General features: G+C 38.4%; 1 protein-coding gene across 9 annotated transcripts in view, besides 3 other annotated features; it reads left to right on the top strand.

Moving 5' to 3' along the window:
- UGP2 (UDP-glucose pyrophosphorylase 2) overlaps positions 1–14259 on the top strand; it is a 50592-nt gene that overhangs the window by 2493 nt on the left and 33840 nt on the right. For 6 of the 9 annotated variants that reach the window (NM_001377525.1, NM_001377528.1, NM_001001521.2 and 3 more), the window contains one exon: positions 12845–12972. The exons of 1 other annotated variant lie outside the window; for it this stretch is intronic. In NM_001377525.1, coding sequence (NP_001364454.1) covers positions 12859–12972 — 114 coding nt within the window. In that variant the 5' untranslated portion in view covers positions 12845–12858. Of the gene's footprint in view, positions 1–12844; positions 12973–14088; positions 14258–14259 lie in introns of all 9 variants that reach the window. 2 more of the 9 variants (NM_001377529.1, NM_001377526.1) reach the window with 1 other exon arrangement.
- Positions 3845–4625: an enhancer, noted in NCBI's record as "OCT4-NANOG-H3K27ac hESC enhancer chr2:64074440-64075220 (GRCh37/hg19 assembly coordinates)". NCBI's record gives its function as "activates a minimal SCP1, AML or CMV promoter by ChIP-STARR-seq in naive and primed H9 embryonic stem cells {active_cell/tissue: H9 hESC(naive and primed)}" and the evidence as "EXISTENCE:reporter gene assay evidence [ECO:0000049][PMID:30033119]".
- Positions 5406–6185: an enhancer, noted in NCBI's record as "OCT4-NANOG-H3K27ac hESC enhancer chr2:64076001-64076780 (GRCh37/hg19 assembly coordinates)". NCBI's record gives its function as "activates a minimal SCP1, AML or CMV promoter by ChIP-STARR-seq in primed H9 embryonic stem cells {active_cell/tissue: H9 hESC(primed)}" and the evidence as "EXISTENCE:reporter gene assay evidence [ECO:0000049][PMID:30033119]".
- Positions 6186–6965: an enhancer, noted in NCBI's record as "OCT4-NANOG-H3K27ac hESC enhancer chr2:64076781-64077560 (GRCh37/hg19 assembly coordinates)". NCBI's record gives its function as "activates a minimal SCP1, AML or CMV promoter by ChIP-STARR-seq in primed H9 embryonic stem cells {active_cell/tissue: H9 hESC(primed)}" and the evidence as "EXISTENCE:reporter gene assay evidence [ECO:0000049][PMID:30033119]".

The following is a 14259-nucleotide window of genomic DNA, read 5'->3' on the forward strand; positions in this document are numbered from 1 at the left end:
GGTATTTTGCAAGAATATGCTAGGTAAAAGTGGACAAGTTACTTCTCTTTAAAAGTTAGAAATATTAATAAACCCAAGGTGTTCCATGTAGAGTTATGCTTTAGAATAGGTTGCAGAATTGGCAAGCATTGACTGATTTCACAGCCTTTGCTGTAATGCCAACTTGTCCTCAGAAGATTCAAAATCAAGTGGTAAGAGTTGCTGTGTATGTTTGTCATTACTTTGTCATCCACTTTTTTTAAAAAAACTTTTTATATTTTGGAATACTTCAGGATTTATAGAAAAGTTGCACATTTGTCAAAACTAAGAAATTAACATAGGTACATTACTGTTAACTAAAGGCTTTGTTCAGATTACAGTTCCCATGATTCACTCTAAGATACCAGATTGCACTTAGTTGCCAGCCACTTTTTTTCTTTTTTCTTTTTCTTTCTTCTTTTTTTGTCAAGGTCTTACTGTGTTGTCCACGCTGGAGTACAGTGGGTATTCACAGGAACAATCATAGTGCACTACAGCCTCAAGCCCCTGGGCTCAAGCTGTCCTCCTGCGTTAGCCTCCTGAGTAGATGGGACTTAGGCATATGCCATAGCCTATAGTTGTCATACATTTTTACTTTAAATGGTAGTTTTCCTTTTAAGATGGGCAGTTTTGCACAAGAATATGACACCTCCTCAAAATTTTTTGACATGAATGTGCTCCTGTTTATCATTGTTTAAATTTTGTACAGTGTGAGCCCTCTATATGTTTAACTCTGCTGCTGTTGTAAATGATAAACCTAATTGGCAAATGACACAGCTGTCTCCACAAAAGAGCTTTCAAGTGTAAGGGTTGGAAATTTTGGTTTTGATTATTTTTTTAAGCAAATCAAATTCTTTGATCTTTGCTGCAGAAAATATTGATATTTCCAATCACTGGCACTTAGTAGTTCATGCTCCTTCATAGGGGAAAGAGTTAACAAATGTTAGGTTTCTAACTTTTTTTTTTCATGGGTTTTCTCAAGCTTTATAAGAGTCCTGAGATGTAGATTTTTTATCCTGCCCTTACAGGTGAGGAAAGTTAAGTATCTTGTCCAAAGTTCACAGCTTGTATAAAGCACTGATTGATTGATAGATTGATTTTGAGGCAGGGTCTCACTTTGTTGCCAGGCTGGAGTGCAGTGGTGCGATCACAGCTCACTGCAGCCTTGATCTCCTTGGCTTAAGCAATTTTCCCACCTCAGCCCCCTGAGTAGCTGGGACTACAGGTGCACACCACCATGCCTGGCTACTTTTCTCCTTTTTTAAAGAGACAGGCTTTCCCTATGTTTCTCAGGCTGGTCTCAAACTCCTGGTCTTAAGCGATCTTCTAGCCTCAGCCTCCCAGAGTACTGGGATTACAGGTGTGAGCTGCTAGTGCACAGCACTGAAATTCTTACATGAGTGTGTCTAAAACCCTAGTCCTTCCCGACATCTTTTGTTGCTTCTAACATTAACAACTGTGGAAATGGCCTGTTTCTCCAGCTAGACTGTCAGTTCCCATTGGGCAAAGATAATATTATATCCTTGGGAGAAATACAGTGTTTTGTAAGTGGACGATACTCTAAATGAATTTGTCATGGATGACAAATGAGAAGCCCACAGCTTAGCATTTTCCATCTACTATTTAGTAGCTTATCTTACATTTTTGGTTGTAGTTTTTATAACACCTCTTAGATTATATAAATGTTGAGAAAGATGGAAAGGTACAGACTTAGATTTGAATACCGTTACTAGCAGGTGATCTTAGGCACATACCTTTCAAACCTCAGTTTCTTCTTAGATAAAAATTGGGCAGTAATGCTTATGCCTCAGGGTTATTGAGAGGCTGAAATGAGATGAACTATGTGGATGTGCTAGGCACATATTAGGTAGCCAGTCAATTTTACTTTTCTTTCCTGAAATGATGGTGGCCTTTCAGATAGCATTGCCACCCAAAATATAACCACATGTCATCAACAGAACTAAAAGAAAAAAGGCAGGTATGAAAGTTCTTTATTTTCCTATTCCAGGTTTCATGTTCAGGCCTAGGTGTTATTATGTTAAAAAAAAAAAAAAAAAGTGCCGGGGTGGGGCAAGGTAACGTTTGGACAATATGAATTTGGTTGTAGTTTTTATAACCTCTCAACTTGAGTACAAGTTGGTGACGGTTTTCTTCTGAATACAGTGAACAAAATTTTTTTTGAGCTCTTACTATGTATGATGTACTGTATTAGGATTTCTGGCATATCCCTTATGGTAGGCACTGAAGTTCAGCAGATCTGGGCATTACACCTAAGTGTTGTGTACACCTGTTTTGAATGTAGTAGGATGGTTGCTATACTTGGCTTGTATCTCCTTCTCCAAATCCTAGGCATTGTGCCTTAGAGGAAAGCTGGGTATCTCCATCCTCAAGCATATTGACCGTAAACTATTAGGTGGAAATGTTCAATTAATAAAAATATTGAGGTAGGCAGGAGAGTTCTTAGTATATATTTCTTGGTCAAAAAAAAAGGTTCACGTTTCTTTGGTCACATCCCCAAGTCTCTGTCCCTCAGGCACTTAACATTCCTTCTCTTAGGAAGACCTTTCTTTACTGGATCTGCAGCATAATTCCTAGCTATTCTGCTGTTGGGTCACCTTCTGCCTACTTGTGACATTCCTTCTGCTCTTCCTTGCTCCAGGGATTGTTCCAGGGCCCCCAGTTATTCTAAATGGATGTGAGTACCATCTCTTCCCTAGCTGAGTGAGAAAGGGGGCTCCCTGTCATAGTTTAAGGTACCAGGGGCGGGGGTCATCAGCAGCTGTGGGTTTTTGTCAGGTTTGTCAGTGGGTGCCATTTGGAATTTTGCTTTTAAAAAGTTCTGAGAGTTATGGGGTAATCACTCTAAATGTTTTGAAACTTAATAAATAGTGAAGAGAGTAATGTTGTCTAGCCAGCTAAGGCTATAATGGATGCTAATGCTCTAATATTAGAGGCATTGTTTTTTTAAAAAAAATGATTCTAAATGTGCCATTATCTATCTAAATTATGTAAAAATGTCCCTGATGTTCTTAAATTGAGGTACATACTTACATTTCAGGGAAAGTCATTTAAGTACCTCTGTCACTTAAAAAATGCTTGAGGCCTATCAGCTTTCCCATTTGTTAAAATTCTTTTCATAACTTTTTTGGTGACTCCTATTTGATAGATGGCAGCTAGCCAGGGAAGATTACTGAGCTAATTATAACTGGAGGGGTCTCCGAGGAATACAGAGATGAGAAGCATTCTGGGGCCTGGTTCTTCTCAAATCCTAAAACCAAATTTAGCCTGTTGCTGATTATTTAGATGATGAGGACACTTTTAGCACAGGGATAGTGGCATGGATTTGAGTGAGGACAAGAGCCATGAAAATAATGACTAGGGCATACCCCTCATTTTTTAAAGATCTGATTTAAGATTTATTATATTATTTGAAGAGAAGGGTTTAGTTAAATTCAGTCACAGTTATAAATGTAAAAAAAAATTCTAAAGAAATTTAAAATGAAGAGTTGAGCTGATGAAAAGTGCTGTTTTCCAACATGGACCTTGTAATCTCTGTGGTTAAATTGTCCGTGTTCTTGCTAACTCAGCCTTTCTTCTAATAAGATGGATGATTTTCATTTGTGAAAGTCTACTGAGGAAAAAAAATTGATAAGGGACATTAGAGAAATTAGAAATATTAACTGGTACTCTTTTTGGGAGTGCCATTTTAATATTCTGAATAAATTGAAAAATGACCTTAAAAGGAAATTCAGGTGTTATTTTAGTCCATAGGTATTTTCTTGTAATATGTTTCACAGAGACCCTTCCCTTTGTTGGTATGTATTATTTTTCCCTTCATAGATGAATTATAGCAAGTTTAATTAAAATAATGGGATACTTAGATTGTGTGAGGAACATCAGTTGGCCTAATAATGAAAGTGTTTCAAATAAAAGAAATATACTGTAGTTTCCTAGTTCCCACCAAGCTTTTTGCAGAAGTATAGGCTTTCATGCTCGTCCGTGTGAAGAGACCACCAAATAGGCTTTGTGTGAGCAACATGGCTATTTCACCTGGGTGCAGGTGGGCTGAGTCCGAAAAGAGAGTCAGTGAAGGGAGATAAGGGTGGGGCCATTTTATAGGATTTGGGTAGGTAAAGGAAAATTACAGTCAAAGGGGGTTTGTTCTCTGGCGGGCAGGAGTGGGGGTCACAAGGTGCTCAGTTGGGGTGGTTTTGAGCCAGGATGAGCCAGGAAAAGGACTTTCACAAGGTAATGTCATCAGTTAAGGCAAGGACCGGCCATTTACACTTCTTTTGTGGTGGAATGTCATCAGTTAAGGTGGGGCAGGGCATATTCACTTCTTTTGTGATTCTTCAGTTGCTTTAGGCCATCTGGGCGTATACGTGCAAGTCACAGGGGATGCAATGGCTTGGCTTGGGCTCAGAGGCCTGACATAGGCATTATGAGTTCTCAGAAAGTTAGCAATATTAATTACTGAAAAGTTAACATAAACAGATATTTGAAAGTCAACCTGGATTATCTGTGAAAATGAAGAAGAGTGTGTTAACTTTCTGTAATGCCATTCATCCTGATATCCAGCATTTATACTGTTGGAGAAAATTCCAGCAATATGAATAAATTAGTAGGGCAAGTTCTCTGGCTTGGGGTTTAATGGATGAGAAAATATGATTCAGTTACTACCTTTTTGGTTGGATAGAATCTCTTTAGAAGACAGAGTTTTTCTAAAGACTGTTGCCGTTTTGACATAGCCTACAATTTCTTTTCTAAATATCATATTTTGAACTTGGAGTAATAGTGTTTGAAATTGTGGCCATCTTGGTCTTGGTAATTGAATGGATTGTCCCAGGCACAATGACTATTAACTGAAACCATACTTCTTAGATATTTATTTATTTATTCATTGAGACGGAGTCTTGCTCTGTTGCCCAGGCTGGAATGCAGTGGTGCGATCTTGGCTCACCACAACCTCCGCCTCCCAGGTTCAAGTGATTCTCCTACCTCAGCCTCCTGAGTAGCTGGAATTATAGGTGCACGCCACCATGCCCAGCTAATTTTTGTATTTTTAGTAGAGACAGGGTTTCACCATGTTGGCCAGGCTGGTCTTGAACTCCTGACCATGTGATCCGCCTGTCTTGGCCTCCCAAAGTGCTGGGATTACAGGTGTGAGCCACTGCGCCCAGCCAATTCTTAGATATTTAAAATTCCACTGCCAGGCACGTGTCCTTCTATTAATAACAAGTTCTTTGAAAGTTGGCTTTATGAAGCTATCAAAGAAAATTAAACTTTGTGTGTTTTTTGATTGGGTGACTTATGTGTGAGAAAAAAGATAATACTCTGTTTGAAAGCTGTTTCCCAGTTTTCTTGATTGGTGATGCAGGCATCTCCTTTAATTTGTTGCACAGTAATTGTCTAAGACTCAAATACTGCCTCTGCCAACAGTTCCGTTGTTTATTTTTCTCAGTCATTAACAAATGAAATCGATTGTGCCCCCAATCCATTTTACAATTAAGGATTGTTTTTGAGAAACATGGAGAAATTGGCTATGTTGTCTCGTTAATATACATAAACAATAAAATGTTTCATTTCCGTAAACATTTTTAGATATTTCTGTTAGTTTTTTCTGTGTAAATCAAGAGAATTGTTTCTTTGTGATTTCGCTTGTGTCCTAAAAAACAAACAAAAAGCCATTAATTGTCTTCATGGACCAGAAATTAGTTGTATTATGCTTAGTCTCCTTTTTACTTGCTAGTCAACATATTGTAAAAATACTATTTTAGGGGATCCTTTCTTTGACAGTAGCTCTTCTTGCTCCTTGGCCACAATGAAAATGTGATTGGAGTTTGTATTTTCTTCTATTTGCTGCTCTGGCAGAAGCTGATGTAATATTTCATTTGTGTTATATGCCTGCCTAGAATTTTAAAACTTCCAAAGAGCACAAGAAAACAGAACAACATAGTTATATCCACTGTTTTGGGTTCATTTGTGCTAATGGTAAAATGCTTTGCCTTGGTAATAAAATATTTATGGAATGCATAAAAGCATTCTTCGATTTTTTTCATTGCTTAGACAACACAGTGTATAAGGAAGAGTTGAAGAGCATGAGATGCAGTAAGAAAGTATTATTCTAATTGTAGTTTTAACCTCACATAGCAGACATAGTTGAGCTGCCGGTTTTCATTCAGATTTAGTGGCAAACACCTGGAGGTGGTAAACCATGTAAATACACTGTAACTGAGAAAGGAGAGACCTTGCTCCAGAAGAATGAGAAACAGGGCGCCAGGCAACAGGGTTTGAGTTCCAGCTTGGCATTGTGTCCTTAGGCAAGTCAGCATCTCTGGGCCCCTGTTTCTTTATCTCCAAAATAAGGAATTGGACTCACTGACCTTAAAGCCGTTCTAAGCATAAAAGTTTCTCTAAATGCACACATAGCAAGTTACACGGCAGGACTACCGGATCATTTTTTGGCTTTTCATCGTGATTTTATGTTATACCTCTTTCTCTTCTTCTCAACAAAGGAGTGTGAGGCCTTTTGTGATGACTTTCTTCTCATCCATTAAACATAAAACAAAGTGGTATTATTTAACAAATCTCTTCTGAATGTTCTGTTTTCCATAAGTAGTGTTTTCTTTTTCCTTTGAGATTTTAAGAGCTACTCTATTGTATAAGAGTAGGGTTAATTTTAATTGTTAATCAGAAGACTGGTTTATATATAAATTGTAGCAGTTTTTTTTTAAGTAAAGCAATGCATGATTAGCAAAAATCTTTTTTAGCGAGCTGCTCTGCATATTTGTTGCTGCAACAGTTCTTGAAAGCCTGATATCCTTTTATTTTTGTTATCAAAAAGCATTTATTAACCATTCATATGAATGTAAAGCTGAGTCATCTAAAAATATATCTCAGTGTAGTCATAGTTGACAGTCTAATAACTTTAGTATGAAAAGATCATATAAAATTATGTAAGATGCAACTTAATTGAATTTACTTTTCTTAATTTATCATTGAATGACATGGAATATTTTTTCTATATTTTTCCCTAAATTAAACTAAATGTAAACATATAAATTGCCCAATTTTGTTTAATCTCTAAAGTTAGTGAAAACATTACATTGGCATTTATATTGGTTAATAAAATTGAAAAGAAATTTAGTAGTCATTTGTCTAGACTACCTATCTGTGTGAAACTTCTTTGACCATATCCCTGATACTTGACTAATAAATCAGCCTCTGCTTGAGAAGCCTTAGGGACTGGGGCTTCAGATACTTATGACAGTCTATACTTATCTTAACTCTGCCTTTCTGTGACCAGACATCATGGCTCTTGTACAGTTTCACTTTGGGCTTACTAGGCACTACCTACACTAGACTAGACTTTGCCTTCTGTATACCCAGAGCATAGCTGGATCATAATAGGCTCTTACTCATTTAATAAATGTTACATGAGTATCTACTATATCTCAGGCTCTGTGTTTGGCAGTGGGAATACAGCTGTGAACATTACAGACATATACTTTCACAGAATTTACAGTCTGTTGGATAAGATAAACATTGAATAAATTTTTAAAATTATGATGTTATAAAGGAGAGGTACAAGGATCTAGCATATGAGCATGTAATAGGTAACTTAGTTTAGAAAGATTTCTAGGAGGATAATCTCAGGTAATATTTAAACTGAACTCTGACAAATGAATAGGAGCTATTCAAACTACTATTATATGAGAATTTAAGTCCTGATCTACAGTTTAGTTACATACCATTATTAGGCACCTGTACTGTGCAAGGTGCTAAGGTAGGTTTTGGGAAAACAAAGTTGCATGACATAATGTAGTTTTTTCCCCCTCAAGAGAATATGTTCTAGGATTGCAGACATTTAACTAAAGAATTGGGGTTTTGAGGGGTGTTTGATATAATACAGAGACAGGAGTGATTAAAACTCCCAAATCAGTTGTGGTAGAAAGAAAGGCCTCTTGGAATGTTCAGAAGCCACTGCTTAGAACACTAGGAATACCACCATCAAAATGACAGAAGCAAATCAAGTAAAACAGTTTGAGTCTTTGGGGATTGAGAGATCAGGGCGGTTTCCCAGAGATTGGGATGATTCTCATTATTCTGGAACTCATACTGGGCCATTCTTATTTTTCTACTTTTTTTCTCATTTCTGCCTCCCCTTTTCTGAAAGTGTTGAGTGGTATTTGAAGTGCATGGTTTCGAACAATCTTATAGTTAGGATGCTTTTAACTTCATGGAGTAGAAAAATACCAATTCATTTGGCTTTCAAAAATGAGGGTCTTTTTATCCCATAAATCCTGAAGTAGGATATGCAGGGTTGGTTAATTCAGTACAAAAGCTTATCAGACCTTCCTTCTGCTGTGCTATCTTTGACATATCTGCCTCATTCTTGGGTCAGCTTCTTTCAAGGGCACTAATCATGGCAGAAGAAACGTGGGGTGATTGGTGGACACATACTCATTATGTGAGTAGAAAAAATACTATCTTTTCTCATGTATGTCTTTTTTCAGTGAGGAACACCTTTCTCCAAAGTGCTGTGACAGATTATACCCTTATGGCTTACTGGCCAGAATCATATTACATTTTATGCTTAAACCAATCACTAGGAAGGCTTTGGACCAATCTGGGCCTGGTGCCATCTCTGAAACACAGGGCATTGGGGCAGGGAGTTGGTGACAGAATAGCATTGGAGTAGCAAGAAGGATGAAGAATATGGCTGTTACAAATATGTTAAGATAAATGGAGTATAATCTACCAGAGCTACTCAAAGCCATACTGGCAATGTTTGGTTATTAGATATGCATATCTTTCCCACCCCAAACCTACTGAATCAGAATCTCTCTGGGAGCTTACCCAGGAATCTGTGTTTTAACCAGCCTCCAAGTGATTTGTATGTACATTAAAGTTTTAGAAGAACTATTCTAGATGTCCCAAATGGAATAGGAAATTGCAGCCTTTAGGCAGTCTGCTTTCATACTTTCATTAGCTTTGGCTACTCCAAAAGATACTTCAGCTTGGCTTTTGAGACATGCCTGGATAAGGAATTTGTATTTATTTCCATAGGCAATGAGAATTTCATCAAACAAGGAAGAGAAGTGATATGATGGGGGTTGCAGCTTAAGGAGATCAATCCATCCTCCTTGGCACTATTAGATTAGAGTGATGGGCAGACTAGTTAGAAAGCTGTTGTCATGACTAGGAGAGTAAAAATGCTAGGGGAACTAAGGTAGCAGTAATGGAAATGGAAAACAGTGAATGGAATTACAGCAATCATTTAAGAAGTTTTGATATTGCATTGTCCAATGTGAGGGGAAAGGTGGGAAGAGCCAACTGTGACTGTGAGGTATAAACCTTAGTTTCTACGGAAATGTTAATGCCGTGGAGAACAGGGTGGGCAAAAGAGTAATTTAGTTTGGATGATCAGTCATATTTTGGACATGTTGAGTTTGAGGTACCCAGCTGGGTATCCAGGTGTCAGAAGTCTTTAAGGAAGTAAAGAATGTGATCCTGGAGCTCAGGAAAAAAGTTTAGGATGAGAGGCACATGTTTGAGTGATCAGTAAGGAGAGTGGCATGAGAATTGAGGAGAAAAAATGGTCTGGGGACAGAATTTTAGGAATCTCAGGAGAGGAAAGGAGGAGCCAGTTAGGGAAACTGAGGTGTGGTCAGAGAGGTAAGAAAAGATATAGGATACACTTGAGTAATGGAACCCCATAAAGAGCTTTTCTAGGAGGAATATTCACAAATAACTGGGTTTAAAGGACTGTAGTGAGCCCAGAAGAAGCTGGTTAGCTTGAATTGGTTGTAAATCTAGCCGGCATAGTTCATATTTCCTTGAAATAATCAAGATAGCTTTATCTTGATTATTTCTTGATTATGTCTTGAAATAATCAAGATAGCTTTATCTTGATTATTTCCAGTTGCCATTAAATTCTTGGAGTTCTATGGTTATTTGGATCACAAGTCATTTCCCGATTTAAGATTAAGTGCGCTCTCCAATTCTCTGACTTTGAGTATCTCTCATTGTGGGTTTTCCAGGAAGGTTGGGACTGATCAGACAGAGGTGGCCTAGGGATGGCTCTTCAACTTCTCTGTTGCTCTTGGTGCCTTCCCTGTGGTTTTTCCATGGCCTGTGCATTATGAAACTAGCTTGTGTACTTATTTTGTTTGCGCCAGTGTCAGGGTGTCAGGGAAGGGTATTATGTATCCCTCTTACTTGCTGAAATACATGAAATGAGATCCATGAATTAAGAAACAAAAATATTCACTTGTCAGATTGACTGTAGCCCTCTCTCTTTTTTGGCTCCAGCTGGATAAAAAAGCCCATGATGTTGAAATTTTAGTTCCTATGAACAGGAAGAATTAGGAAACTGGGGGAAAGGAGGAACTTGTGAAAAAAAGTTATTGCCTGTTCTATCTGAAATTGACTTAAAGTGTCTAGTAAGTCCAGTTTTATGTGGTGGGGAATTATCTTGTCTGTTGATTGAACATAAGAAGAGGTTCTGATATAAATGCTTTTGGAGGAGAGTGTGGTATTTAGGGATTTTTGCGTCAAGGTTAAAGAGAGCCAGGCCAGGAAAAAAACATTAGCAAGGTATTTCTGCCTCACTGTGGTGGAATGGGACTAAAAAAACATGGCTTTGCTTCTGGGCTCCACCATTGGCCTGCTCTGTGACCTTGGATAAGTCATTCAACTATTTTCAACCTGTTTCCTCGTCTGTAAAATGATGAGAGTAGGTTAAATGCTCCCTCCCATCTATAAAAATGTTTGACTAAGGTAATGAAATGTTTGACTCCCAATCCACTCTATGTCTAAAGGCGTGGGGAATCAATTTTATATTGCTAGGCAATAGGGACAAAACACTTCATGAGGTTAGAAATCTTGGATTATTCAGAGGATTTTAGTTGACCTTCCTTTAGAAACACAACTGTCCTTGTCAGAAGTGTAACCTGAGAATGTTAAATCCAAGAAAGCTTCTAACATCTGTACTACTTTTCCTACCAGAAATTTCAGACCTTTCTTAAAAAATTCAGGATGGATGAAGAAGTCACCACTAAGGGAAATGGTTCCCTGCTCTGTGCCTCCTGGTCTGTGCCCAGATGCTTAAGATAGCTACGCTTCTTGTCTAAGCACTCTTCCTTATTCTTTATTCTTGAATATTTTTTATTCGTTACAAGCCCTTCCTGATTCTTTAATCACTAAAAACAGAGCTTTTAGAGGGGTAGAAGAGGTGACAGGCTTGTTGTAATGTTCTTTTGTTTAAGCCGATTATATTTATAAAGAGGGTGGAAGAAAACAAATTATTCTTCATGTGCATTGGTGCTGTATCAAACAAAAGAAAGAAACAAAGGTTAGAGACATTTCTCGAGTTTGATCCTGTGTCTGGGATTTTTTCAAGTCTGCCTCTGAAACTTAGACCTGTGTTGACAGAGAGCACATGCAATATTAAATGTGAGTCTTTCAGCCAGCCTTTCTTAGCTTGGGTTGATAGGATAGTGACTTGGGTTCTGTGTGTTTTGACCTTAAATCATGTAAATTAATAAGTTATTGTTCTGCAGAGGGAGCTTCTAAAATGTTTTGTTTTGTTTTCAAATGGTTCTCATTTAGACAAATCTCAAACAGCTACTTTAGTTACTTCTAAACTTTGTAGTTACATTTAGTTTTATCTTATATGTTGTCTTTAATTCTATCTGTATAAATGTCTTTTATTCAAATATAAGTGAAAGAATTTATAGTAGGTGGAGTATATAAGGGGAAAGAGTTTTTAGCCTTACTGAAATGTGATTCTGCTAAATTAACAGGCATTTGTAAAAATAACTAGTTATCAAACTATTTGAATAGAAACTTTACAAATACATTTTTAAAATAAGATTGAATCAAATACTAAGGATAGAAGGGGAAGGGTGGACAAATAATCCAGTTGTCCCTATTTTATGAGAAGTAAATAAGATGATTACTTTCTAGATAAAGTATAAAACAGCCTGTGTTGGTATTTTTCTGCCAAAGTGTTTGGGTCTGGGGTGTTTCTTTTTCTGTTTTTTTTTTTTTTTTTTTTTCTCTTTTCTTTTCTTTTTGAGACAGGATCTGCCTCTGTCACCCAGGCTGGAGTGCGGTGGCGCGATCTCGCCTCACTGCAGCCTCTGCCTCCTCGGCTCAAGGTATCCTCCTGCTTCAGCCTTCCAAGTAGCTGGGAATACAGACAAGCGCCACCACACCTGGCTAATTTTTGTATTTTTTGTAGAGATGAGGTTTTGCCGTGTTGCCCAGCCTGGTCTCAAACTCCTGGGCTCCAGGGTCTACCCGCCTCAGCCTCCCACAGTGTTGGGATTGCAGGCATGAGCTGCCATTGCCCAGCCTTTTTCTGTAGTTTTCTATTTTTGTTGTTTGTATTTATCTAAGAGGGATTTCCGTCACCTTTAGTGAGATCCATCTGTCACAGAAGTGCCCGGCTATGCCAAAAGCATTAAAAGTCTAGTCTGACACACGTAAGCAGTGGAAAGTCTTGGCTGAAATTGGGAACCAGAAGATGGCAGGCAGCCCTATGCCCTTCTCCTTTTAAAATGAAAACGTCGATACAGGGAAGTAGAGGCACCTTGGAATTGCCAATACCTCTCAAGGGGTTCTTGTTTAGTGGAGAATATGAAACTGGAGTGAAACGAGTCCTAACTAGTTGACACCACTGAATTACTGCCACAGGATAAAGGGACCTTGGGATTGAGCCCTTTTCATTTGCTGAATACCAGAAATCAGTTATAGCTTACCAGCTGTTTGAATGGCTTCCTGGAGTTTTCAGTTGGTGGTTTTATGTTTTTGTTTTAAGATCTTAGCAAAGCAATGTCTCAAGATGGTGCTTCTCAGTTCCAAGAAGTCATTCGGCAAGAGCTAGAATTATCTGTGAAGAAGGAACTAGAAAAAATACTCACCACAGCATCATCACATGAATTTGAGGTAAGGAGGTTTCTACAGTGTTCCACCCCCCCGCCCCTCCCTTCATCTGTCTTCATGCTGAGTTGCTGCCGGTGATGATGATAATCATCACCTCAAATCAGCACAAGATGTACGATAACATCAAAAACAAAAAAATTAGAATTGCTTAACAATTACCGGCTTTTAACATTTGCCCTTTGTAAATCCATTATCTTTTTTTCATTTAAGCCTAGGAAGTTTTCAAAGTCATTAAAATAATCAGAACCAAATTATACTTTGTTCTGTGTTTTGATGTCATTGGGTGGAGAAATGCATACCTGTGTTCAGTTGTAATTGAGAGAAGTTAGCTTCATATGTCCTGCATGCCTTTTCCAGAGAGTCACTTCTGATAGAACCATGCTACTTTGACAATTGTCATAGAAGTTTTCCAGAACTGGGAGGCATTTACTTTTTTACTTGTAAATCAATAGGTTAGTATTTTCATTTTTATATTTCAATTTATACTTAATGTTTTGAAGCTAGCTGTGTTTTATTTCTTTTTGTTCTTTTAGTGAAGATTAATTTTCATTGAGAAGTAGAGAAAGATATTGGTAAGTAAGTGTAGCGGCCAGGCGCAGTGGCTCTTAGCTGTAATCCCAGCACTTTGGGAGACCAAGGCAGGAGGATTGCTTGAGCTCAGGAGTTTGAGACTGGCCTGGGCAACATGGCGAAACCCTGTCTCTACCAAAAAATACAAAAATTAGCCAGGCATGGTGGTATGCGCCTGTGGTCCCAGCTACTGGGGAGGCTGAGGTGGGAGGGTAGTTTAAGCCTGGGAGGTGAAGTTTGTAGTGAGCCGAGATTGCGCCACTACACTCTAGCCTGGACAACAGAGCAAGACTCTGTCTCAAAAAAAAAAAAAAAAGTACAGAGCCAGTTGGAATTCCCATTAAACAAATGGTGTTTGTTTGTTTGTTTTTGTTTGTTTTTGAGACAGGATCTCACTCTGTCACCCAGGCTGGAGTGCAGTGGTGCAATCTCTGCTCACTGCAGCCTCAACTTCCTGGGCTCAAGTGATCCTCCCACCTCAGCCCCCGAGTAGGTGAGACTACAGGCACACACCACCACATCTGGCTAATTTTTGTATTTTTTTTGTAGACACCGGGTTTTGCCATATTGCCGAGGCTGGTCTCAAACTCCTGAGCTCAAACGATCAGCTGGCCTGAGCCTCCCAAAGTGCTGGGATTACAGGCATGCACCAACTACGCCCAGCCTGTATTAGCTTTTAGGATGTGAAAAAGTCTTGCTCCCTCCATGTCCTAATGGTGT

This window comes from Homo sapiens, chromosome 2 (genome assembly GCF_000001405.40).
Source record: "Homo sapiens chromosome 2, GRCh38.p14 Primary Assembly".
Classification (NCBI taxonomy): domain Eukaryota; kingdom Metazoa; phylum Chordata; class Mammalia; order Primates; family Hominidae; genus Homo; species Homo sapiens.